This window comes from Homo sapiens, chromosome 12, assembly GCF_000001405.40.
Source record: "Homo sapiens chromosome 12, GRCh38.p14 Primary Assembly".
Lineage (NCBI taxonomy): Eukaryota > Metazoa > Chordata > Mammalia > Primates > Hominidae > Homo > Homo sapiens.
The window spans coordinates 67,590,884-67,617,495 of record NC_000012.12 but is presented as its reverse complement, the minus strand read 5'-3'; the positions used below and the strand labels follow the sequence as shown (position 1 = coordinate 67,617,495).

Below are 26,612 nucleotides of genomic sequence, written 5' to 3'. Positions count from 1 at the left end.
TTTCTCAGCCAACTTATCTTGGCACACAGGAACATTATGACCTGTGGCTAGGAATTTCTCAAAATTCACAGCCAAGCTGATATTTAGGATACTGTCCTAAGATGGAATAAAGAAAAAAATGTAACTTAAATTCTGATTTTAAATATTACTTTAAATGAGTTCTTATAACAAGGGACACAAGATTCAGGATGTGATATAAGAATTTATAATTATAGCTATATAATGGTCCTACAAAATGTTACTGCCTCTTTGAATCAAATGTTCTATGTGGACCTTTGGAATAATAACAACATTCAAGAGATCATCACTTCTGGATTCTTGTCAATTTTTACCGAATCAAAAGGCAATGAGTAAATTTATTAGAATTGGTCATAGAAATGTTTTGACACCAGCCAGAAGGGAAAGTCACATAGGGGCTATTTCAAAAGCAAACTGCAGAAAACATTTTATATAAGAAGACCATAAATGGCTAATAAATCTGATAAAAACGTTTTAGCTGCCCTAGTAACCAAAGAAATTTAAAGTAGTAATGAGATACTTAAAGTGAATTTAAAAGAGGAGAAAAAACAAGGAAAAGGAAAAATAGAAGAATATTAGAATATTTGGGTGAAAATATAGGCATTTAGTGAGACACGGTCTTGAACTGCTTGGGAGTGGGAATAGGGAAATTCTCACATTGCTGATATTTTCAGTGGATCAGAAAAGCAATGTGACAGTACAGACTATAAACATAAAAAAGGATCGCATATTCCTGTACTTTTTACTCCTGGAAAAGTTTCTTTAGAAAATAGTGGAAAAAAAAAGTTGAATTGCAGCATTATTTTAAATACAGAAAAAGTATATACCTTGCAAAAGAAGGAAGGTTAAACAAAATATTTTAAATCCATATTGAGAAATGTTATATAACATTAAACATTCTATGAAAAAATTAATGATGTGGGGAAAATACTTACAACATAATGAGACATTTGATGCAAACAAGGTTCAGACACATGGTCTCGGTCATGTACAAATAATATGTGATAGAAATGAAAACTAAGTGGAAATATATAATTGGGAACAGCGATTATCTTTGAATGGTGAGGTCCTACAGGGGTTTATTTTTTATTACATTTTTATACATAGCATTTATAATAAATATGTCTAATATTTCTAATGTTTTTCTATTTTAATAAAAATTATGTATTTTAATATATAAATCTATGTAATATTTTCTGTATGTAAACTTTCAACATTATTTTTAAATAAAAAAGAAATATATTCAGAGTATAGCTAAGCAGTTGAAAAATAGCGAAATCTTTCGACCTAGCCAATGGTATAAAATAAATATAGGGATACACTATAGACCAAATACCTTAATTAAAGACAATAACCAATTTTCTAGATGCCAAACCAATGCCATCAGTTTGCTGTTAATCTGCATAAAATAAGTTAGTAACAGTCTATTTGCTGCTAACTATAGAATATTTTAACATTTACCAAATTATTAATGAGACTGGCTTTATAGTGACCCTTAAGATGGACTAGATCTTAAAAGCACTGTTGTTAAAGAATAGATTCACAGGACAAATATTTCAAGTAAAAGTCAACAAGAAAAAAAATGTATATGTAAGCATCTAAATTTTATATACCTCCAGGTGTCCTTACAAGGAAGTGTGGAAGAGAACAGATGCTAATTTATGACTCCGGATCAATTTGCTCAAACCTGCACACAGGCATTAGAGGCAGAAGAAGGACACCATTTTTCCCCCCGTTTGGTATATACCATTCCTCTGGTTATGTTGTTTACTGATATCCTGCCTCCGTGTCAGGCTTAATACAAATAAATAAACAAACAACAATCTCTATTTTTTTAAATAAAGGAAGCTTTTTAACCATTTAAAGATAAGCAGTTTAATGTTATTACTAGAAAAAAAAATGAGTATTGGTTATTTTAAGAACACGTGCATTTTTTTCTAATTAAGTCTTTGCTTTTGAAACCTTGGAAAATCAGTGTTTTCAGAGCTCCATTTCACTATGAGACAGTTGTGTTCAATGAATTCAAAGCATCCCCCGTAGGTCTTCCTTCTCTTGGGAGCTCTCATTCCACAGCTGGCTTAGTTTTCTACACCTTGGTGGCCCATATACAAAATTAAAGCCCCAAATTGACCAAACCTCCCTCAAAAGCAAGCTGAGTATGTGGGAATTCAAATCACTGTTTCGATAGAGTGGGTTTCAAAGCCTTCTGATTACAGTGGTCGGAATTCTGAATAGTCTCTAGAAATCAAGCCACACTAACACTTCCAGGACCTGTGCTTAGTTCTCTAGAAAGGTAGTTTCCTAAAAGTGCTCACTTAGTTCCCTCAGGTGAGCAGTTCTTTCCCCCAAGGATTGTTTCTCATTCTCCACACCTTTCTGCACTTTTAAGTAATTTGCCCAGTGCCCTCTTCTCCCAGGAATTGGAACACTTGATACAAATTTTCTATTTTATTTCACAGTCTGCACTTCTGTGGGGCCAGACATTAGATTTTCCTTCCAATTGTCCCACAGACATGTAGCCTCCTTCATTCAAGCAATGAAGGCCATGGTATGAACTCCACACCTGTTCCAGCAAGACAATTCTCCCTTCAGAGCACTCCCAAGTCAAAGGGCACAATACTATCACAAGTATAATACTGGATGGCGGAGGGGCAGGTAGGAGCACCACTTTTCTGTTAAATTAAACTCCTTACTTAGCCTGGAAATCACTTACCTTCCTAGGTTTCTTTTAGGTGATTGGTCCATTATGAACCTGGAAGATGAGCCAGCTGCCACGTAAGTGGACTTTCCAGCCTCAGATGACCACAGCCCCCCACTGACACCAGGATTACAGCTGAGTAGTTACATGCTTACATTCTAAACTGCCTTTTAGAATTGCCAGGTCTGGATTCAAGGGACAACTTCATATCACTGCAGCCACCTTGACCTCTTCCAGAGAGCAGCTGGCTATGGGAAACCATTACAGAAATATTCAAGAAAAACTTAATCTCCCCATTTAGCCACAGGGAAGACATGGAGGACAGGATTTTAGCTTTAAGCCTTAAATGTTCAGGACTGAAGGAGTTAGCCTCAAAATTACTTATAAATTTCATCAAATATTGAGTGTCTGCTTTGTGCCAGGAAAATGTCTACTGTTTGGCTGATCTCCTTGCATGTCCCTTTTGATGATTTCCTGTTTTTGTCCCATTTTCTTCTTTTAGTGAGGAATCAAGGTTCTCAGTGTAATCGAGTTACTCAGCCTACCGAAATCGTTTTGATTTCTATTCACAGGTGTTTTGCCTGTGTTTACCTGATGTTCCCTCTAGCTAATCCAGGGATTCTGTATGTTTAATTGTTGATATAAAGTGGCAGACACACTTTCGAGATCTTAATAGCAAGAATGTAAGCATTTCTTTTCTTTTTTTAATCTTAGGATTTATGGCAATTTCATAGAAATCTGACAGAGTTGGATAAGAAACTGTAATACTGTATATGAGATAGAGAAGATATTTGAGGTGGCGGACGGCGGGGGGCTGTCCTTGAGCAAAACTGAAATAGGCCAAGAGTTTCTTCTGAGGCTCAGTTTTCATAATTCACAATCTGTTCCCCTCTTCTCCAGCCTCTTCCCCTGGGTACCTGTCATGAATCGTTACCCCAAACGAACTGCATGAGCTAATTTATCTGAAGTTAGGTAAGATACATTATGAATATCCCTTTTTTATAGATGAGGAAACTGAGGCTTAAATTAAGCCTGGCTTAGAGTTGCACAACTCGTTACTGGCAAGCACAGGGCTTGAAAACAGGTTTTCTGCTTTAAATTCAGTACTTTTCCATATGCCAGTGACGCCCAAACTAGCATCGGTTTTATTTTTGTCTATAAAATGATATGTACATAGAATTGGCTTTTGCATCTTTTTAAAATCAGAGATGTCGATGGCTACTGTTAATAATATCTGCGTAGAGGGTCTAATAACCTCTCTTTTGGGGCCATTGTGATAATGGAATTCAATGAGATCTATGAAGCCCCCGGCATGGTGTCTGAGCAGTATGTGCCCACCACATGTGCAGCCCCTTCCTTTCTGAGCTTTCCTGCTTGAGCTGGGTCCCCAGTGTTCACCCCCTGGGATTCCAGGAAAATATTTCATTACACTGTTATTTCAATGTAAAGCTAGACAATAACTAAGGGCTTTTGTTAAAAGTGTGAAGCCTTTTGCCAGTGAACATATAATTTCTGTTTTAATATCGAAACTAGCTTACTAATCACTTTCTTCTTAGTTACGAATTTCCTAGCTGCCTTATCCCTGTACCCTTAGCAATTCACAACCCCAGGCTGTGAATCCATCCAGTATATAATTCGTTTTTTAGTATCTTAGAATACCCCAACTTCTTCTGAGAAGGGAAAGAGTATGTGATTATAAAGACTATGGTCTTAATTTAGTAGGTCACCCCTTTCTTGGGTGTATTTGCCTTTTAAAAAGAGAAACCAAGAAAAAGCAATATTTAACTCAAACAATTGAATATGTAATGGCAGAATGTCCAGTACTGTGTATGTGCATAGCCATTTCGTAGATTGAGGGAAACGCGAATATTTTAGACCAGAAGAGGGTATCGCTTAAATCAGTGCTCCCCAAATTTTTTGGCACCACGGACCAGTTTCATTGAAGACAATTTTTCCATGGATGGATGGGGATGGTTTCAAGATAAAACTGTTCCACCTCAGATCATCAGGCATTAGATTCTCATAAGTAGCATGCAACCAGACCACCACATGTGCAGTTCACAATAGGGTTCCTGCTCCCATGAGAATATAATGCCACCACGGATTTGACAGGAGGCGGAGCTCAGGTGGTAATGCTTGCTTGCCGCCATTCACCTTCTGCTGTGCGGCCCACTTCCTAACAGGCCACTGACCAGTACTGGTCCTCGGCCAGGGGGTTGGGGACCCTTGCCTTAAATTATGCCATGAGGGGCTCACTTCTTTGCTTTTTTCAGAGAGTCTCTATTTAGGGAATGGAACAAGAACCTCACCTATTCTCCTCTGCTTATATTGTGGACACTGAGTGTGAAGGTCAAACTAAAAAACTGTGAAAGCATCATGTTGTGAAGTTGGGGCTTTAGGATCAGACAGATGCAGATTCAACTCCTTAGCCACATACTAGCTGTGTGCCCTTAGGCATATTCCAAACTGAATGCCAGTTTTTTCCTCTGAAAATAGAGGTGGCCCCTTGGCAGAGTGGTTGCAGGGTCATATGAATCAGGACAGGTAAAGCATCAACCTCCACATTTGCATTCTCTAAATGACTGCTATTATGCTATTATGTTTCAAGTGCACTCAGCACAGACACCTTTCTTTCTCCTCTCCAGATTGGTTTCTTGGATTTATTTCTAAAACCTGGGAATTTCTAGGAATTGGCAGCAGTTAGAAACACAGGGAATGATTTAAAAGTTCCCCTGAGAAGTTGAGGAAAGCAATCTTGGAGCAGAGATCTTCTTCTTCCTCTTCTGAAAACTTTATTTACCATTTAAAAGACTCCACAAGTTAAAAGAGAGAGAGAGAGATAAAAAATTAATTAGATTTAAATCCCTACTCTCCTTTTGCAAGATCTAAATTAAAAGTCATCACAAAATACCTGTGTGCTTCACAAGCTGCCAAAATTTGAAATTCACAACCCCCTTGACTTTATGTTTCAGGAAATTTGATTTTGAGATCTAATTTTAGGATAACAAATAGCCCTTCACAAAGAGTCCCAAATGTTCCTGGTTCCCAAGGAGTAGTAATTTCAACACTTCTCTATGAAAATCTAAATATACAATTTTTTATTCCTACATTTTGATAAATCACAGCATACAAATTCTGTGAGAATTAACATTAAAATCTCATGCAGATCCATCATTTAATTCTCTAATAAGGCAAAGTTTACGATAAGTACTCTCTAAGGTCTCGATAATTTTTCAGAAATTCCAAAATGCATCTATCAAACATATATGCACAGAAACATGTTGTTATTTTAAACTAGTCAGAAACAAAACTGTTCTCCTTATTTGAACTCTCTACAGAGCCCGCACTAATATTCTTAAGACCAGTAACCACCTAAATGATCATTTCATTGACAACTCAATGCTTGGCACTGTTCTCTGCCCAAAAGACAGCATCCAGCCCAACTCTAGGCACAACTCAGCTCTTAAAGCATGCTTTTACATTGCTTCATCTTTTCCTTTCAGTTCAAGAATGAGCTCTTGCTGCATGGTTTTAGCATCATTCTTTTATTTTGGAGTTAAAAAAATATCCAGGCTGAACAGAATATGACAATCTATGCCTCAAAGTCAGTCAAAAATCCCTATATTTTTGCTGACAGAACTCCTAACATTCTGATAATTGAGAAACTTTCAGGTTTATTGATCGAATTTTTATTCCGTTTTACTGAGGCTTCTGCTAGAACTTCCATTTTCTGTGCCATGGACTTAAGTTCTCTACTAGGTTGTTTTCTGGTGTTGCTCACTTACTTCACAAGTAGCTCTCTTGCCTCTGCAACAAGATTTAAACTTTTGCGAGAGGAATTCAACATGTCTTAAAGCAGGGGCATCCAATCTTGTGGCTTCCCTGGACCACAGTGGAACAAGAAGAATTGTCTTGGGCTACACATAAAATACACTTACACTAATGATAGCTGATGAGCTTTAAAAAAAAAAAATCACACAAAAGCTCAGGATGTTTTAAGAAAGTTTATGAATTTGTATTGGGCTGCATTCAAAGCCATCCTGGGCTACTTGTGGCCCGCTGCAGGTTGCATAAGCTTGTCTTAAAGTGTTCTAGAACCTACCCCCTACACTTGGTTGAACACTGAGTTTGATGACTAACAGGCTGCCAATAAATACTAGACGAATTAAACACCTGTTATTTGGAGATGTCAGATATCTTTCTCTGGTTGATTAAGTCAGAGACTCAGTTGAAGCAAATATATTTTTTAAAATTTTTTTATCATGGAAGACTTAGAGAGAAGAAGTATAATGAATCCCCACGTCCCTATCATCAGCTTCAACAATTATCAACTCATGAACAAACCTGCTTTGTATAAATAGCTTTTGAAAAATTAACAGTTTTTTTGAGCAGTTTTAGGTTCACAGAAAAAGTAAGTGGAAAGTCCAGAGTCCTCAAATACTCCCTTCCTCTTCCCCCAGCTTCTACCATTATTAACATTCTGCATTAGTGTGGTACATTTGTCACAAATGATGATTCGATATTGCTACATTATTATTAACTAACTAAATCCATAGTTCACACTAGGGTTCCCTCTTTGTCTTGCACATTCTGTGGATTTTAACAAATATATAACGACATGTATCCAGCATTACCATATCCTACAGAATCGTTTTACCAAACAGTGCTAACTAACTAAAATAGCAATAACTAACTCCTGATTACCTCAGGGCGAGTTATATTTACACCCTAAAAGATGTTTCTATTCAAATTCAATTCACATTTTATGCTTTTTAAGATGATTTCATGTACATTGTGCCATTCTACTCACACAGTCATCTCCTTCAGTAAGCATTTTTACTCCCATTTTCTAAGATATTAAAGCTCAGAAAGGTTAAATAACTTTTCCAAAGGTCAAATAGCTAGTCAGGGACAGAGCAAGGATACCAATCTAGATTAAATGGGATTAATTCATGCTGCAGAATTTGTGACTTGCTAAATGACAGAAATGCTAAAATTAGTCCTTTCTACCATTTATGGAGCAATTAAGCATGTGGTTGAAAGTAGAGCCAGATGGCACAAGCCTTCCCAGAAGCAGGATTTCTTATACTATGGGAGAGAAGTGATAATCCTGAAATGGTGCTGGTGGGGGGTAGGGGGGATACTTGGTCCCCAACCCACCTCCTCGGGGGTACATGCTGTTTATATGTGTGTGAGAAAGAAAAACTGCAAGAGAAGTGCTGGGTGTATTGTAGGGAGAGCCAGAGTTCGATCAGGCCATGGAGCTGGAGGTAGGGAATGTATTTGCCATGGTGGAGAGAGTTTCCATATGGTTCAGAGGAAAAATTGATGAGGGAACAAGGAGCAGCAGCGGGAGGCTGTATAGGAGAGAGGAAGCACAGAGCAGCTTGGGGATGAGCACAGACGTTAGAGAGGCTTATATCTAGCCAGTCATTAGGGTAAAAATAAAGTGAGGCATGATGAGTTTAACTGACTATGAGGTTTTCCAAAGGATCCCCACTCAAGCTCTTAGTAAATGTTGGAGTCAGCAGTTCCCACTCTGTGTCCTTAAAGTCTGGAATCAACAGCTTGCCCTCTAGTTTCTCAGAACCATGCTGCCTCGGAGGGAGTCTGAAGCCCTGCAGTGTGGACCATGGCTGGAAGGGCGGCCCTACCAGGCCCTGGTTTCTGGTGCTGAGAATGGCATGGGTTGACACACAGGGAGGCAATTCCCTAAAGTTTGGGCTGTGGGTTGGTTTTGATGGGGTGATTACTGGAGAACCTAAGGCTCATGACAGTGAAAATATGTTTTGACAAATATTCTGCCCTTTCTGAGTGGGGAGTGGGACCAGTTCTATGAAAAGTGTGGCAGGGAATTGTGCTCTTGAGTGCCCACACTACCCCCACTCTTCTCCTTTGGTGGTTTCTTCCCTACTCTCCATCATGGCCATTCATGCTGCCATGGCTCACCCCTCCAGTTTCTCCCCAGAGCACACACATTTTCAAGCAAACATTTTGTTTCCTCATACTCGATAAGAATGCACCTGTTTTATGTCTAACTCTATGCGAATGCACCTTGCTGTCCTAATCATAGAATGGCTGTGCTGTAAATCTACTCCAATTACTCATCTGAATCATATCAAAATCACCCCACCAAAACCAACCCACAGCCCAAACTTTAGGAAACTGCCTCTCTGTGTGTCAACCCATGCCATTCTTGGCACCCAGAAACCAGGCCTAGCAGGACCACTCTTTGAGCCATGGTCTAGCCAGCTGGACAGAAAACTCCTTGCCTTAAAATGTTGCCCATCATTGGTTAGTACTGAGTGATGGACAGCTTTATTGAGTTAAATTCCTTGTATGGCCCTCAGACTCATATAGAACACTCATAATTCCTTTTCTTCAGGCCATCACTCCAAATATCAGCCCCTAGGTTTGTCTTACTAAGGCTGCCAAGTCCTATGTCCCTCAGACACTGAACACCAATGTAGAAGGGTGAGATCACAGTTCCCAGATAAAAAATCTGCCTCTTCTTGTTTTAAAAAGAAAACATATTAAGCACTTACTCCGTGCCAGACTCTGTGCTAATTGGAAGATTAATTTAATTTGATTAATCTTCCCAACAACACCAAGAGGGAAGGATTGTTTTCTTTTTTCCAATGACTAAACAAGGGCTCAGTGGAAAACATGATTTGCCTTAAGGTCATGCTGCATTTCTAGGGGCAGAGATAGAACTGAAGCCCAGGTCCCCCAACTTCAAGGCCTGTTCTCTGGCTACCACACACTGAGAGCGACTCTCTCCAGACAACAGCCCATCCACTGGAGCAATCAGATGCTGCAAGTCTAGACAGAATTATAAGTCTGAAGGCTGAGGAACGATTTGAAGCCTAATTTTTTTTTTTTTTTTTTGCATTTCCAAAAAGTGTAATATATAAGTGTATTATTATTTTTATTACTCTCAAAGCCAAGGTTAGTGTGACGAGATGGTGTCTTAGTGTTGGTAAGAAACACTAGCTGCCGTGACAGAAACCCCTAGAATCTCAGTGGCTTAACATAAACCGTCTTATGCAAAATGTAATGCACGTGTCTTTCTTTGGCAAGTGGTCTTCTATGTGGCCTGTTACTGGTTGAAAAAATTCATATGTTGAAGTCCTAAGCTCCAGTTCCTCAGGCCATGACGTTATTTGGAAATAGAGCTGTTATAGATGTAATTAGTTAAGATGAGGCCATACAGGAGTAGATTGAGCCCTAGTCCAATAGGATTGGTTTTCCTATGAAATTGGACACAGGCACACCTACAGGGAATACGTCATGTGAACATGAAGATGGCCATCTACAAGTCAGGAGAGAGGCCTAGAACAGATCCTTCCCTCTCAGCCCTCAGAAGGAACCCACTTTACAAACATCTTGACCTCAGATTTCTAGTCTTTAGAACTGAGGCAATGGATTTTTGTTGTTGAAGCCACCCAGTTTGTGGCGCTCTGTTATGGCAGCCGTAGCAAACAAACACACAGTCCTGCAGGGCATCTTTCCATCTGTAGCTCTGCCATCTTCTAGAGCCTCAGAGTTCTTTCCTGGAGCCTCTGTCTTTGGCTAGGGGATGAAAGAGGAGAGCATGTAGAGGGTTTACGGGGCAGGCATGAAGGGACATGCATGTTTTCTGCCTGCAGTTCATTGGCAAGAAGTCAGTCACATGACCTCCTTAACTTCAGCAAGGACTGGGAAATGTAGGCTAGCTGTGTCCATGAACAGGAGAAAACAGATGTCAGTAAACACAGCGGATTCCTTGCCACGGATAATTTAAAATAGAAAGATACTGGAGGAAAGAGGCCACTGCTAGGAGGCTATGACAGGAGTCATTCATCCAACATCCACTCACTCCCTCATCCATTCTATAAGTATTTATTGAGTGCCTACTGTTTGCCAGCACTGAGTTGGTATGGCGACATAGGGGCATAGCAGGAAACAAAAAGGGACAGATCCCTGCCTTTAAGGAACTTGCACTGTGATAACATATGGTAGAAAATTGCAAGTTGCCTTTGGAGGCTCTTTAAATGTAGTCCTAGTGTAGGTGGTCAGAGAAAGTGGTCACAGAAAGTTCTCAGAGGAGAAGACACTGAAAGAGAAATAAGAGGGAGCTAATGGTCTGCACTCCCACCTCTGCAATTCCAAAATCCAATAAGCTCTGAAAACCAAGTTTTTTGGGGAAAGTTATTTGGTAATAAAACCAGACCTAATCTTGACACATATGGTTGAAAAGCCTGATCTCAATGGACACAAAGGTACTTATACACTTTATCTATTGTACTAGGGATCAGTACTTGAATACTTACACTCTTGCTACAAGATGTTCATGTGTTTGTTTCCAAAATAGATCAAGACATAGTATTGCTAATGTGCCAGACAGAGTCATCAGATAATTAAAATGATGGATGAATTTTGGTGAGAACAACGGATACCACAAATGTTTTTCAGAATACATCCTAGTCACCCAAATTGATAGATATCTTTAATATTCACTCTTTCAGTGGTTCTGTAATTGAATAATTTCCATATCTCTGAAACCAAAGAGGAATTACCAATGGTTTGGTCAATACCTAGAGCCTTAGAAATAGGTGGTGGGCAGTGCTGGGAGCAGCAGTGAGGGTAGTGCCTTTAGTAGTGACCACTGAGCTGGATCTGTGAGCCAGGTTGACACAGAAGGAGTGGACTTAGGATCTAGGGTTTCTTCTAGCAGAGGATTTGGAGAAAAGGTAACTACTCACATCATTGTGAACTAAGACTTTCTTCTCCTCAATAGCTATGGCAAAAGGGAAATAATGATAGTGTTGGTGCTTCCAGAGATGCTCTACCTGCTTACCTTTCCATAGATAACACCTGGACTCTACCATGAAAACAAGCATTAGCTCTAGCCACTCAGTTAGAACACTCATACACACAGAGGAGCAATAAGGAGGTCTAAGCCACCTTGAACCTTGTTCTTCAAATTAAGACATCTGGAAGTGACCGATGTGAAGCAGCCATTGTCCAACCAAGCTCTCTGTGATCATGGAAATGTGCTGTGATCTGTGTCCCCAGTACAGTAGCCAGGAACCCTGTGTGCTCTGGAGTGCCATCCACTGAAATGAGGATGGTGTGATGGAGGAACTGAATATCTAATTTGATTTAATGTTAAGTAATTTAAATTTAAATTTAGATGGCCATATGTGGCTAGTGGCTACCATATTGGAAAGCTCGGGTATAAAGAGTTACTTTTTCTCATGCAAAAATTACACCACCACTGAAACACAGGGCTAGGAATCCTGTTTTCTAGCTTTTATTTCCTTGTAAACCAACTGTGGCTAGTACCAGTTGTGGCGCGTTTTTGAAGGTATGTTAACATTTTCATTTCTGTAAGCTTCATCGCTTCTGGAAAAGTGTTCTAACCTGGAGCCTACTAGTGAGTTGGAGAAAGTCATTAAAGATTTTGCTTTCAATTACTTACTTCTACAATGTTCGTCTTCTTTCTCCTCTTAGCCAGGCAGGAAGAGAGAAACAAAATTATAAAGCAATACCAGTACAGTGGCATGTAGTAACCCTTGTGTTTGACATTTCTTTGGCTCAAATGTAGTCATTCCACTTCTCTTGGTAGGATGAGTTTACTTCAGGCTGTAGCTTTTCTCCTGGTGACGAACAAGGATGTTCTCCTTAAGGACAGGGATGCATTAAAGTTCTCCTTGTGTGGCAGAGTGCCTGGTACTTAGCAGGCATTTGATACATGTATGTTGGATCAAATAGCTTATCACAATCAAACAATGTTTAAGTTTACTTAGTAAATACTAAGTACTATAGTTCTTCAAATACTTTGCAAACTTTTCCCAATGCAACCTAATTTAAGCCAGAGAGTAAGTCCAAATTTATGGCAACACAGCTTAAACATTTCCACTAAATGAAGTAAAGTAAAGCTTAAAAACAGAGATGTAAGGTGCATGTTCCACAGGTATAAAAGGATGATATGGGATCTCCCAGTCTATACATGTTTAAGGAAGGACAGTATCAGTGACATTCTGACCCAAATGCATTACACTTTAATTTAGAAAAAAGGAATAAAAAAGGAGTCTCAGAGTCTTTTCTAGCCATGAGTTCATAGGTGTGAACCCAAATAGCTTTAACCTGATAAATCCCCTAAATCCTTTCCCACAAAAAAGACCACATTTGAAAGACTTTCTCAAAAAACTCTTCAATAATTAGATCACTGTGGAATTTCTGATTGGAGATTTGTTGCCCTGAAAATTTGTAGTATTTTTTCCACTAGCCATAAGCAGTTCTGATTTTTCAATTAAAATCCACATCTGTGGAATATGTACCTAAATAAAAAACTATAAACAGCCTTACAGAAATATTTGTGCCAGTAGGGTGACTATAGTTAACAGCAATGTATTGTATATTTCAAAATAGCTAGAAGAAAGAATTTTGAATGTTCTCACTACAAAGAAACAATAAATGTATGAGATTATGGATGTGCTAATTACCCTGATTTGATAATTACACAACATGTACATGTACTGAAATGCTGTTTCTTATAATATGTACATTTATTGTGTGTCAATTAAAAATAAAAGAAAACTAAAAAAAGAAATATTTGTGCCAAATGGTAGATATAATAGTCATGGCAGAAAAGCAGAATATTCTAATTTCATCTTCTTTATTATGTGAATCCTTGAGTGGTAGATTTTTTTTCCTCAGTTAACATAGATTTAATGGTAATAATTTGCAGAGATGCATTTAGAAGAACTATTGGATGTTTCTGCTAACATCCTTTGGAAGTTGATTTCCCCAACTAGGATCAAAACTCTAGCTTTGTAAATCCTCCTTTTGTTATTCACCACTAAATTCGCATTTTTTAGAAAGGAGAAGGAAGCCATGGGAGTTTTCTGGTGTCCCTGGAAATTCTGTCATTCAATGCTCAAATTTGCAGCTGTCTATCCCTGGTTTGTTGTAGAATAATTTGATGGGACATAGAGTGTCAACACTTTTTTTGTAAGCCCTCTGGATAAGTCTTATATCATCTGTTCATACTTCCAGAAAACATTCATAAAAATGTCCCTATAATAGACCAGGTATGATTTCCTATAATAGACAAAGATGGTCTATACAACTTTGACCTTGTGCAAAGTAAGAGAATTTCAAAAATAGGTAAACGGCATCATGCAATGGATAATCTTTTTTTTTTTTCTTTTTTTTTTTTGAGATACAGTCTCGCTGTCACCCAGGCTGGAGTGCAGTGGCGCCATCTTGGCTCACTGCAACCTCCACCTCCTGAATTCAAGCAGTTCTTCCACCTCAGCCTCCTGAGTAGCTAGGACTACAGGCATGTGCCACCACACCCGGCCAATTTTTGTATTTTTAGTAGAGATGGGGTTTCACCATATTGGGCTGACTGGTCTCGAACTCCTGGGCTTGTGATCCTCCCACCTTAGCCTCCCAAAGTGCTGGGGTTACAGGCGTTAGCCACCGTGCCCGGCTGGATAATTTTTTGAATAGTTAATTATTATTTACTAAAGAGACATAAATGCTGGAAATAATGCCAAGGTTTATATCTCAATAAAAGAAGAAAGTTAGGTTTTGTGAAATTCCCTAAGCCACCTTGGCCATTTACAATTTACCACTGTTGGTAGCTTCAGATAATCAAAAGACGGTGGGAATTTTATGTCCCCGCGTTTCCACAACTTTCCTATTAGCAAATTTCAGACCAGATTTTGACATGTATACAAAACATAGCCCTAAAACCAGTTCTTGTAAACTTGGTGAAATCATGGCTCTCTGACTTTCTGGGTGTTCTGACAAGCACTTTGCATGAAAGTAGCTCTCCTGAGCAAACACAACATGTATTCTATTAGCAGGATCAGCTAGGTGGATTAGCCAACAAAATCCTCCATAAAGTGGGGGGCATGATCGATTAGAGTTCTAGACCTAGGCACTCTATAAAAGGTGTTCGGCTACAGGGCTACCTGGATCCCCATTTCTTATTCATACAAGGAAAGGAGTTTTCTATACAAATCTTTCCATGTAACCATGTATCATAAACACAGCTTATTTCACCAATAGTAAAGCACTTTCTAGTATCCTTATGTTGCATCATCAACCCTTGGAGGGCATATTTGTATAGTAGTATTTAAAATACTTGCTACTAGAGTGTAGAAAATACTATACTTCCTTACTGAGATCCTTCCAATTTTAACTAACCACCTTCAAAGTACGGATTTCTGATTGGAGCACTTCAGATCTTATTCTAGGCATCTAGGGAGTATAACTGTATACAAAATGTGGACATAGAGGTATTTCAAGTAAATTACAGGCCATATAAGAGAATGGTTGGGGGTATGAAGACGGGCTGAACAATCAACCACTTTCAAAGGTCTGGCTTCAGGATTTAAGAAAATGAACACTATTATCTACCTCAGCGTCCTTTTAGGACCATCCTCGCCTCCGTTCTCTCACTAGTAAAGCACTAGTCCTGAAAGTAAAAGCAAAGTCTCTGAAATCAGGCTGCCTGGGTTTGAAGCCTGAGGCTGCCACTCACCTGTCAAAGTTTATGTTCTCTATGCCTTCACTTCCTCACCTAAAAAACTGAGGGCAATAATATGCCTAAGCTATTAGGTTGTTCTGAGGGTATGAGGTAACTCAAATAGAAACCTTGGCAGCTTGCCTCACACCTAGCAAGTATCCAATGAATGTTTACAGAAAAACAAATGCATGCAAACAACAAGGGGATTGTGTTAGGCAGAAGTATATAAGACAAAGCCACAATTCCCGGTCTCAAGGAGCTTATAGCCCAGTGGGAGAGACAGGCAAAGATGCAACAAAAACATAGTTGATTAGTTCTGGCCAGGCGTGGTGGCTCACTCCTGTAATCCCAGCACTTTGGGAGGCTGAGCGGGGCAAATCACCTGAGGTCAGGAGTTCAAGACCAGCCTGGCCAACATGGCAAAACCCTGTCTCTACTAAAAAAAGTACAAAAAATTAGCCAGGCATGGTGGTGAACACCTGTGGTCCTGCTTCTTGGGAGGCTGAGGCAGGAGAATTGCTTGAATCCAGGAGGCAGAGGTTGCAGTGAGCCGAGATCACGCCACTGCACTCCAGTAGGAGGGACAGAGCGAGACTCCATCTCAAGAAACAAAACAAAACATAGTTGATCAGTTCTATGTAAAATGTATGTAAATTGCAATACCTGCCAACCCTTATTAAACATATATATAGATAGATACAATGAAAGCCACTAGAAATTTCCAATATATAAGAGGAGGATTAAGATACCCTATCATCAACAGTGATATACATTGCAAATGCCAGCATAGAAAATACTTTAAAACAACTGATATATTGAAAAATGATGTTTTATTTTAAATGCTCTACATTAACAATTTGTCTTTTTGGATTCTGAAAACATTTTCCAGGGGCCTTTTCCAGTTAGAAATGAGACTACTGTAAACAGTCCAACAATTAATGACATACAGTTGGCTTTTCTGAGCTAAACAGTTATTGAGCCCAAATTTACAAATGCGAAACACTTCACCAGCCACAAAACAAGGCTGAATCATATTAAGAGAACATGGATTTCAAAAAGAGCAGAAACTTTCTTTCTTTTTTTTTTTATCTCTTTGTTTATTCCTTATTTTAACAGGTCATCTACCTTTTAACAGCACGGCTCAGTGTTACTGTTTTCCTTGCCAACTACAGATATGATCTGAGATTTCAATGTGTGAATATGAGCTAATTCACAAGACAAGACAAAATGCCAATTTAATAACTCTTAGACAAGACCTAGATTTTGTGTTTGAATAGGGATGGCAGATTGAGAACTATTAACCTGCTAATCTGCAGATGCATTAAATGTCTGTGGATAGTCAAGGCCACAATAGTTTTGACAACTTAAAAAAATACTCTGTCATGGCAAGATAAGTTACCCATAACCTTCACATTTGCATAACAGGATAGATTGCTTCAACTCTTCAGGGTGCAAGTATATTTCCTACACATCAAAAAGTCAACCAAGTACTCACCATTTTATTTTCCTAACTATTATTCAAATATGATTAAGGTTTTTTTTTTGTTTTGTTTTACATAACACATGATGGGTTTAAAACCTAGGGAAAGAAGATTGATTTTGGAGGTTTAAGAAATGTGTACCTTTTGGTCTTAACAAGATTCTTCATATTATAATTATTAAAATCTATATACTGTCTTTTAATCAGATCTTTAAGAATATTACCAGAATACTAATGCTAATGAGTTCATTAGAAAAGCTTGTTTTTCCCCCAAGAGACAGGGTCTTATTCTGTTGCCCAGGTTGGAGTGCAGTGGTGCAATCATAGCTCATAGCTCACTGCAGCCTCAACCTCCTGGGCTCAAGCAATCCTGCCTCAGTCTACCAAGTACCTGGTACCACAGGCACATGCCACCATGCCCAGCTACTTGTTTTTTAACATTTATTTATTTGTAGAGATAAGGTCTCACTTTGTTGCCCAGGCTAGTCTGGAACACCTGGCCTTAAGCATGAAAAGCTTTTTTTTTTTTTTTTTTAATAAATTTTTGGGAGTAGGGGTGGGATTTAGGTGTGGAGTGGAAGGAAAGTGAAGAGATGCTAAGATAAAAAGCTTCTGTTAGTCCGTTTTCACAGTGCTATAAGGAACTGCCCAAGACTGGGTAATTTATAAAGAAAAGAGGTTTAATTGACTCAAAACTCTGCATAACTTGGGGGAGGCCTCGGGAAACTTACAATCATGGCAGAAGGGGAAGGAGACACCTTCTTCACAAAGCGACAGGAGAGAGAAGAGAAAGCCAAGTGGGAAGCGCACCTTACAGATCCATTACATCTCTTGAGAACTCACTCACTATCACTAGAACAGCATGGGGGAAACCACCCCCGTTGATCCAATCACCTCCTTACCTCAACACGTGGCCAAACAATATGAGAGCTTAAGAGAACTTGTGGCTGAAACCAGTCTCTTTTTCATTTGAAATTATTGTAGAATCTGAAAGTGTTGCCGTGTTCATAAAGGTAAGAAAAAACTTAATTCTAGTTCAAAACATTTAATAGTAGCTGTGGTCTGAATGTGTCCCCTCAAAATTCATGTATTGAAGCTGAATCATCAATGTAATAGTATTAAGAGTTGGGGCCCTTAGGGGATAATTAAGTCATGATGGTAGAGCTCTCATGAATGGGGTTAGTGACTTTATAAAAGAGGTGGAAGGGAGCTATTTGCCCACTTCTGCCATATGAGGATGCAGCAAGAAGGTGCCATGTTTGAAGCAGAGCAGCCCTCGCCAGACACCAAATCTGTTGGTGCCTTGATCTTGGACTTCCAAGTTCCAGAACTGTGAGAAATAAATTGCTGTTGTTTTTAATACTCTGCCTAAGGTATTTTGTTATAGCAGCGTGAATGAACTAAGACAACACCAGAAAGCATAATTGATTTTCACCTTAAAACACTTAATTGGGTACATTAATATGGTTCATTAGTATCCAGATTTTATACCTGATCTATTCATCAGGATATTACTGACTATATTTGTTCTCACCAGATTTTCCATTTTCATAGAGATTCACAAATGGTGAATAAAATTATAACTCTATTCTTTTGCAGAGTTAGATCTTACTTGTTTTTCCTATTTTTCCATGAAGGTAGCTTGAGAGAGGAATTGAGAATATTGCTAAAAAGATCAAATACAGAAATGAGTTTGTCATTTTCAGTCTCACTTAGTTTTCATATTCAACAGCATGTTAACCATTTGGGAAATAAATTCTCCTTTTTTTCTTTTTTGAGACAGGGTCTTGCTCTGTCACTCAGGCTGGAGTGCAGTGGTACGATGATAGCTCATAGCTCACTGCAGTCTCTCAACCTCGGCCAGGAAAGAAATTCATTCATTCATTTGAAAAGAAACACATGGACCATGATCCCTTTCTGAACCAACATCCACTTGACTTTAAATCTTTCAAAGGGCACTTACTGACAATTACTATGCACACACTGCTACAGTTATGCCTGTAGTTAACCAAATTTGTCAACTGCAGAGATATACACATTTCTTTTCTATTCTAAATTAAATTTAAAAATCAACTTGAACACACACATGCGAGATTATCAAGTTCAGTCTCTTACTCTTGAGACTACCCTTTGTCTTTCAATATCAAAGAACCCTAAAGGCAAACACAGATTAAGCCACTCAATCTGTGGGGTTTTGTGAATAGAGGAATTTGTCTGACTTCCACACCTAAGCAGAGATCAGACATTTATTGTCATAGCTTCTCACCAACATGTGGTATCACTGAAGAAAACTTGTTCCATAAGATCTAAAGGGCACTGAGGAATATTTCTGGTCCAGGTCTGTGGGGGTGGATGGAAATGAGGAGCCATGTCTTTCAGGAAGCTGGTTCTGCCATTTTGGATTTTTGAACAAAGCTATTTTTTTTTTTTTTTTTTTTTTTTTTTGCTCAAATCCAAGCTTAGGCAAGGAGCTCCAGGTTCACTGTTTACCTTGAAACTATCCTCCAATGCACCAGTTGTCTCAAGAGTGCCATGTCACAAGTGGCCTAATAGCCTACCATTTGAGGACTCCCAACCAGCAACCCTTTTTTCTTCCTGGGGATGTAAATTCCAAGAATGAGGCTAGGAAGCTACTGACTTTGAGGCCCTAATCCGCAGCAGGCTTTTATTGTCTTTTTGGGTTCCAGACACTCACAGAAGTAAAGGCCTCCTGACCTTTCCCTGTCTTTCCTTAATACTAGGCCTTGATTACTCCCAGAGGGTCTACATGTTCATCCTTTTTTGGGGGACAAAGCCATGTTTCTTTCAGTAGTGATTTACCCTCCCAAGGCTGACCCAGGAGCAAAAACAAAACAAAACAAAAATACATACACACAAATAAAAGCATGGTCAAAATTTTAGGCAGGACATCCCCTACATTTAGGTTCAATGATAAGTTATCATTCCTTCCTAGCCATAGCGTGTACGTCCATCTTCCCTTTGGTAAACAGATTAATCTGCTCAAGCCACTGTAACAAAACACCACAGACTGTGTGGCTTAAACAACAGAAATGTATTTTCTCACAGTTCTGGAGTCTAGAAGTCCAAGATCAAGGTGCCGGCATGCTTTGTTTCTGGTGAGGGCTCTCTTCATGGCTTGCAGATGGCTGCCTTCTTGCTGTGTCCTTACGTGGTGGAGAGAGAGAGCAAACTCATTAGTGTTTCTTCTTCTAGGGGCAGTAATATCATGGGATTAGGGCTGTACCCTCAGGACCTCATCTAAACCTAATTATGTTCCAAAGGCTCCATCTGCAAGCACCATCACACTGGGGGTTAGGGCTTCAACAGATTAATTTTGGGAGGATACAAACAGTCTTTAACAGTAGATAAGACTCATTGTTATTTTTTTCTCCCCTGGCTAACATTTAGAAGATGGTCCTTATTTAAGATTTCTTTTATTTCTAATATGCATTACTTCAACCAGAGTAAAACTGACCAACAGCAAAATTTGTTTTGTTTTAGGTCATTAATATTTTGAAATCTTAAATAGAAAAGTCTATTTTTTATCCAAATTAACTCAAATATATCTTTTATCTTTTCCATCTTACTGCTAATTGTCATATATGGCTTTTTAGAGAAAGATCAGAAAATACCCCAACATGGAAAAAATATATAAATATACACACATAACTGTACTGTTTATCTTAGTGCAGTTAGAAACAGGGTATACAAAAAAAGTTTAAAATGCTGAGATTTTTCAGTCATTTCTATAGTCAAATAAATCAGAGCAATTTTATATTCAAGAATTCTGAGGTGCTGAGTGCGGTGGCTTACGCCTGTAATCATAGCACCTTGGGAGGCTAAGGTGGAAGGATAGCTTGAGTCCAGGAGTTTGATACCAGCCTGGGGAACATGGTAAAACCTCGTCTCTATAAAAAATACAAAAATTAGCCAGGCAGGGTGTTGTGTGCCTGTAGTCCCAGCTACCAGGGAAGCTGAGGTGGAAGAATCACTGGAGCCGAGGAGGCCAAGGCTTAAGTGAGCCGAGATCACGCCACTGCACTCCAGCCTGGGCAACACAGAGAGAGACCCTGTCTCAAAAAAAAAGAAAAGAAGAATTCTGAGAAATCCTTCATCATGACTAAAGGCACCTGTAAATTTATTTATATATAATTTCTGCTTTATGGATTTTAGGGAGGACAGCAACATAACTATTTCTAACATGTAAACAAGATTCCTAACTTTTTACAACATAAAATATTAAGTTAATATTAAATCACTACTACAAAAAAGCTGATAGATGACTAGAATCAACATGATTCAATTTTTATCTTATCTATACTTACGTAGTTTTCTAACAACTGAAATAATAATATCACTTCAGGCAGTCAGACTTTTAGATAACTGAATAAAATTTGCGTCCTTCGGCCCTCCTTCTAAAAACACATAGAATCATCAGAGTGCATTCTTCTGGGTACACTGGCAAAAAAAAAATTGTGTGATATCAAATGGAAAATGTCTCAATAACTGTGGAACCCAGAAAACAAAGTTGGAAGGGAGAATGCATTGTTTTGAGCTAGGTACCCTTCTAGGAACTTTTATAGCCATTAGGTCATTTAAACTCTTACAGCTTCCCTGCATGTGAGGAAAAGCCTCAAGTGTGGCATTAAGTGGGTATTGACCAGTGTGAAGGGCCAGGAGATCTGAATTGCCAATCTATCTCACACGCCCCTTAGTGTGCCTAGGTGTGTCAATATTTTTATATAAAGGAAGAAGGGGTCCTTGCAGCTTTTGATAAGGTGAACTGGAGATGTTTTTTCTATTTTTTAAGCATTTCAATTGCTCCAAAAGCATTTAAGTATTGCAGTTTGTAAAACAAATATTATGGCTTACTCCTGGTATAGGAGAGATAGTGCTGATGGGTGGAAGGAGTTTACCATATAACATCTTAGACATGTTAAAAACCATGATTTTAAATCTTTTGAAACCTTCTTGTGTTCCCTGTTCCATGTGCTGTCCACAGAAGCAACAAGACAGAGGAAGCTGAGGAGGCAAATCTATGAGGCCACAAATCTAAGAGTACAACAAATCTACAAGATTTACATTTTACAGATGAAAAAATTGAGACTTAACATCCAACATCACACACTAACACAACTGGAATTTCAACTTGAATCTGCTGATTGCAAAACCCTAGCTCTTTTCTTCACGCCGTACATACCAGTATACCATATCGCTCTACTGCATCTCAGAGATGTTTGTTTTGCCAACATAAAGCCTTTTCATTTATAGTGCAGATTATGATTATATCATTCTGTAGCAAATGGGTTTTCATGCTTTAAAAGACAGTATACCAACATGAATTTAATCTTGAAAATCTGAGCCATTATCATAAATCAAATGCTGCTTGACATTCTAAAAGAAATAGGACTGGCCAGAGAAATTTTAGATTCATTATAATTCCTCATAGATATTCATACTTTTGTGACTGTCATTGGATACAGAAATGATAGGTTTGGGTTTGGTTGTAACTTCTCTAATTTTAGGAAGAATTTCTAGTCTACCTGATATCAAGTTATGCATGTCATGACCGTAATTTAGATATTATCACTGGCCTTAGTGTAAAATTTCAAATGCAGCCTTAACACGCTGCTATGTTTTATAGGAAAGGATAAATGCTGAGTCATGTTTCTCATCCCAGAACCCTGCATGCTTCTGCTTGAGGCTGTTGACTTCTGAGCCTGTCATCTTGCCTTAAGATGCACAGCTCTCTCTTCTCCCTACCTCTGCAATTCTCCACTCAGCATTTTCTGATGAACTAGTGTTGTCTTCAGTTCTTCCCTCCATCAGAAAACCACATTAGAGGTCATTTGAATGTAATCCTTGGCAATGACATTTTACCTTGCCTTTGGGTAGAAGTCACAGCTAATGTCTGAGCATTTGTGCTTCCTGGTTGTTGGTGGTTGGGGACAAAGCTATGAATTTCCATTGAATTATTCTTCACTGCAAGATTGTCACTCTACAACAGAGCATCATAACAAGAAAAAACAAAGGCAAGTGATGAGAGAAAAAGGAATTCCATTCTCCCTATAACTGGAGAGACAACATGGTACAGCAGAAAGAACACAGACTCCAGCTATCAATTGCTTCCTATCTCACTCCACAGAGAGTTGGAAGCAACACCCGAATTTTGTGCTACTAACCAGCTCTGTGTCATTGAGCTAGTCACTTAATCTTTGTGGCTCAATTTTTTCATCAACATGAAGCAATAGTAATACCTCCTCTGCCCTCTTTAATTTGTTATAAGATTAAAATGAGATAGTGTGTGTGAAAGTGCATTGTAAAATACACAGCATTGTACAAAACTCCCAGCTACCAATTCCAACCTTCATCAGTGTTGACTGTCCCTTACTCATTTGGCACCTCATCAGATACTGTGACAATTAGGGTGACTTCTCATCCCCGTTTGCCAGGAACTTTCCTGATTTTAGCAGTAAAAGTCTTGCGTCCCAGAAACCCCTCTGTCTGGGACAAACAAGGGTATGTGGCTGCCCTAGAAATAATGAAGTTACTTGATAAGAAAAAGCTGACTGGTGCTAACAACTCCTTTCACCATCCACTCCACAGGAAAGAAACAAGCAGGGTGTTTCCATGAACCTGAGCTAAGCCCACACAATCCCTCTTGAAGCAAGGAGAGTTTTTCTGAGCAGGGTTCAGCTGGGTGGTCATTGACAGGAAAGGAGCAGAGAAGTCATGGTAGCTGGTATCTAGTGATATATCAATAAGGAAACTGAGCACTGGTGGGTACTCAGGATACTTCCTTAAGGCCAGATCTGACTCACTTTCCTGCACCCATTAGTAGGTCCTGATGCTCTTTTTGGTGAGAAAGTGGGCATCTACCTCTGCTCCACCAACCCCTCCTTTCCCTTTCCACTCACATTCAATGATCTGTCTAGCATTTCATGCACTTTGATAATCATGTGAAATTTTCAGTCCTGCTGAGATGATGTAAGATGGTCACATTTTTTTTTTTTTTTTTTTTTTTTTTACCAGAGCCAATAAAGCAATAATCTCTCTCTGAACTGCAGGCTCCCAACCAGCCTTGGGCTAGTCAACCCAATTCCTTAATTCCAACCCACACACTGTTTTCCACCCATCTCTGGAGAATGAAAAGAGGTGGTGAAGCCAGGCTCCCCCAGCTGCTGCGGTGCCCTCCTGCACTGGAGTAGGTACAGCCTAATCAAAGGCCTGTTGTTTTCCTTTGGCTTTGAAACTCACTGGTTGTGGGTGTATCTGTTGCATGATCATGAACACTTAAAAAAAAAAAAAAAAGACAGATCCAGTCCCATTACTTTGGCTCTGGCACAGAAGTTTCTGGAAAGAGAAACCATAAAATGATACCAAAGTGGTAACAGTAAAATAAATACCTCTCTCTGAATTTCATGGAAGTAATGAAGCTTCAGGGCACCAGAGGAGACTTTAGTAGCTCCAAAGCTATTCATGACTGTCCAATAACCCAAGAACTGGCCAAACAAGCTGGACTGCTTTCCTGTGAGTCATCAGAATCACTGCAGGCCTATGATGGGTCCCTTTCACCTGTGGGAAACAGGCTGTTAAAATGGAGAGTTGTCACTAGTTATCAGCTTCTTAGTCTTCACCAGGGCTGGGCAACAAGAGTCATAGGACCTGTCTTTATGCTTATGCTTTTTAATTTCTTTATCTCCTTGCAAATGTAATGATGTGACTTACAATACATGTTTTGATGTGCTGATAATCTCGACAATGAAATAGGTTTTAGGACTTGAGGGGATTGGGAGGAGGCATAGAAATAGTTTGGTGTCTCTGGAAGAAATTAAATTGTGGATGTTTTCAATGATTCCTAGTTGCTTCACTCAAGGAGGGTTCAATAGTGTGCTGACAAATGTTTAACAACAGGCACTCTTGGGGAAAACAAAAGCAAAACCAAAACTGATTTGTGTGTTGGCCAGTTTCCATGGTATAAATACTCCTACCATGACCAATTTAGCTGGCTCCAGTGCACCACTCAGAAGGATCCTAGTTTTTCTTTGCCAAAGATCATCTTACCTGATGGATTTTATGAAGTATATTTATTGAGAATTAAATTCATTAGAATGATTTAAGTTAGAATATTGTATCAAAAATTTAATTTACCTTTCTTAACTATCCTTTAATAATTTGTTATCTTGCTCATACTCTCAGTATCCTGTCGTACTCACTTTTCATTTGAAATCTGTTTTTGTTGTTGTTGTTGCCTTCCTTCCTTCCTTTTCTTTCTTTTCTTTTTTCCCCTTCCTTCCTTTTCTCTTTTCCCTTTCCGTCCTTCCTTCCTTCCTTCCTTCCTTCCTTCCTTCCTTCCTTTCTTTTTCTCTTTTTCTTTTCTTTCTCTCTTTCTTTCTTTCCTTTCTTCTTTCTTTCTCTCTCTCCTTCCTTCCTTTTCTCTTTTCTCCTTCCTTTCTTCCTCCCTCCCTCCCTGCTTGCTTGGTCTTTCTTTTTCTTTCTTTCTTTCTTTTCCTTCTTTCTCTCTCTCTCTTTCTTTCTTTCTTTTCTCCCTTCCTTCCTTTCTTTCTCTCTCTCTCTTCCTTCCTTCTTTCATTTTTTTTAAGAGATGGGTTTTCATCATTCTGTTACCCAGGCTGGAGTGCAGTGGTGCAATCATAGCTCACTATAATCTCAAACTCCTGGGCTCAAGCGATTCTCCCATCTCAGCCTTTCAAGCAGCTAGGACTAGAGGCATGAGCAACCATGCTCAGTTAATTTTTTTAATTTTTATTTTTATAGAGACAGAGTCTCACCTTGTTGCCCAGGCTGGTCTTGAACTACAGTGATCCTCCCACCTCAGCCTCTCAAAATGCTGGGATTACAGACATAAGCCACTGCACCTGCAGCCCGTTTATTTTTCTTATCTAGCTCTTATTTCCTTTCTCTATGCTGAGAGTGAATTTGTAGCCAGAAGTTTTTCTATTTTAATCCTTAATTTTTGCTTTTTTCTTAAATTATTTAAAAATTATCACATCACTCCCATTTCCCTTCTCCCCACAGTACTTAAAACCTCAATGACTCCCTATGGCTTTTGGGATAAAGTTTGTGGTATGGCTTTGACCCCAGCCTCTGTCTCTAGCTTAAAGGCCTTAGAGATGGGCTCTTGCTCTGTTGCCTAGGCTGGATTCCCTCACGAAACTTGTGCTCTGACCACCCCCAAATTCTTGCACCTCCATGAATACATTGTGCTACTTCATGTCTTCAAGCCTTCCCACATGTGGCTTGCTCAAGATTTTCTCCTCATTAACCCTTTAACTTTAGCTTACACTGGGCTTCTAATCTCAGTGGCTACAGCATTTTTTGTTATTCATATCTCAGCAGTGACAGTAATTATTGATTTGCTGAGCTATCTCCCTCCACTTAGGCTATGATCCATTTGACTCAGAGATGATTATCCTGCTTACATCCCTGGCACCTAAGAAAATGTCTGGTATATACTAGGTGCTCAATAAACACTTGTTAAGTAGAGATAATAAATTCATAAATGGTAATTGAGGTGATTTCATAGCTTCATTTTAATTCTAATGTGTTGAAGTCCTTTAATCATTCATTGACAACAATATCCACCAATTCATTTGCAAAGCAGATTGGTTCAATAAAATATGATGTAGTCATAGAGCAGAATTAAAATATTGATGTAGATTTCCAAAAAGTGAAAAATAAAGATATAAGACCAAAAAAGTGAGCAGCATTATCTCTTTTACATAAATAATAAAAAAGAACACACATTTATATATGTGTGTGTAAAGAAGTTTTTGAAAGTAGGAAGCTCCTTTGGCAAATTTAAGCTTAAAAAATAAAGAAAGCAGGAAGCATATGTTAAGTAGACTTTTACTTTCTGTTTTGTATAT

The 26,612-nt window shown here is 38.8% G+C and overlaps 1 annotated feature.

Moving 5' to 3' along the window:
* Nucleotides 24,543-24,632: an enhancer, noted in NCBI's record as "active region_6629". NCBI's record gives its function as "activates an Ori minimal core promoter by ATAC-STARR-seq in GM12878 lymphoblastoid cells {active_cell/tissue: GM12878}" and the evidence as "EXISTENCE:reporter gene assay evidence [ECO:0000049][PMID:35858748]".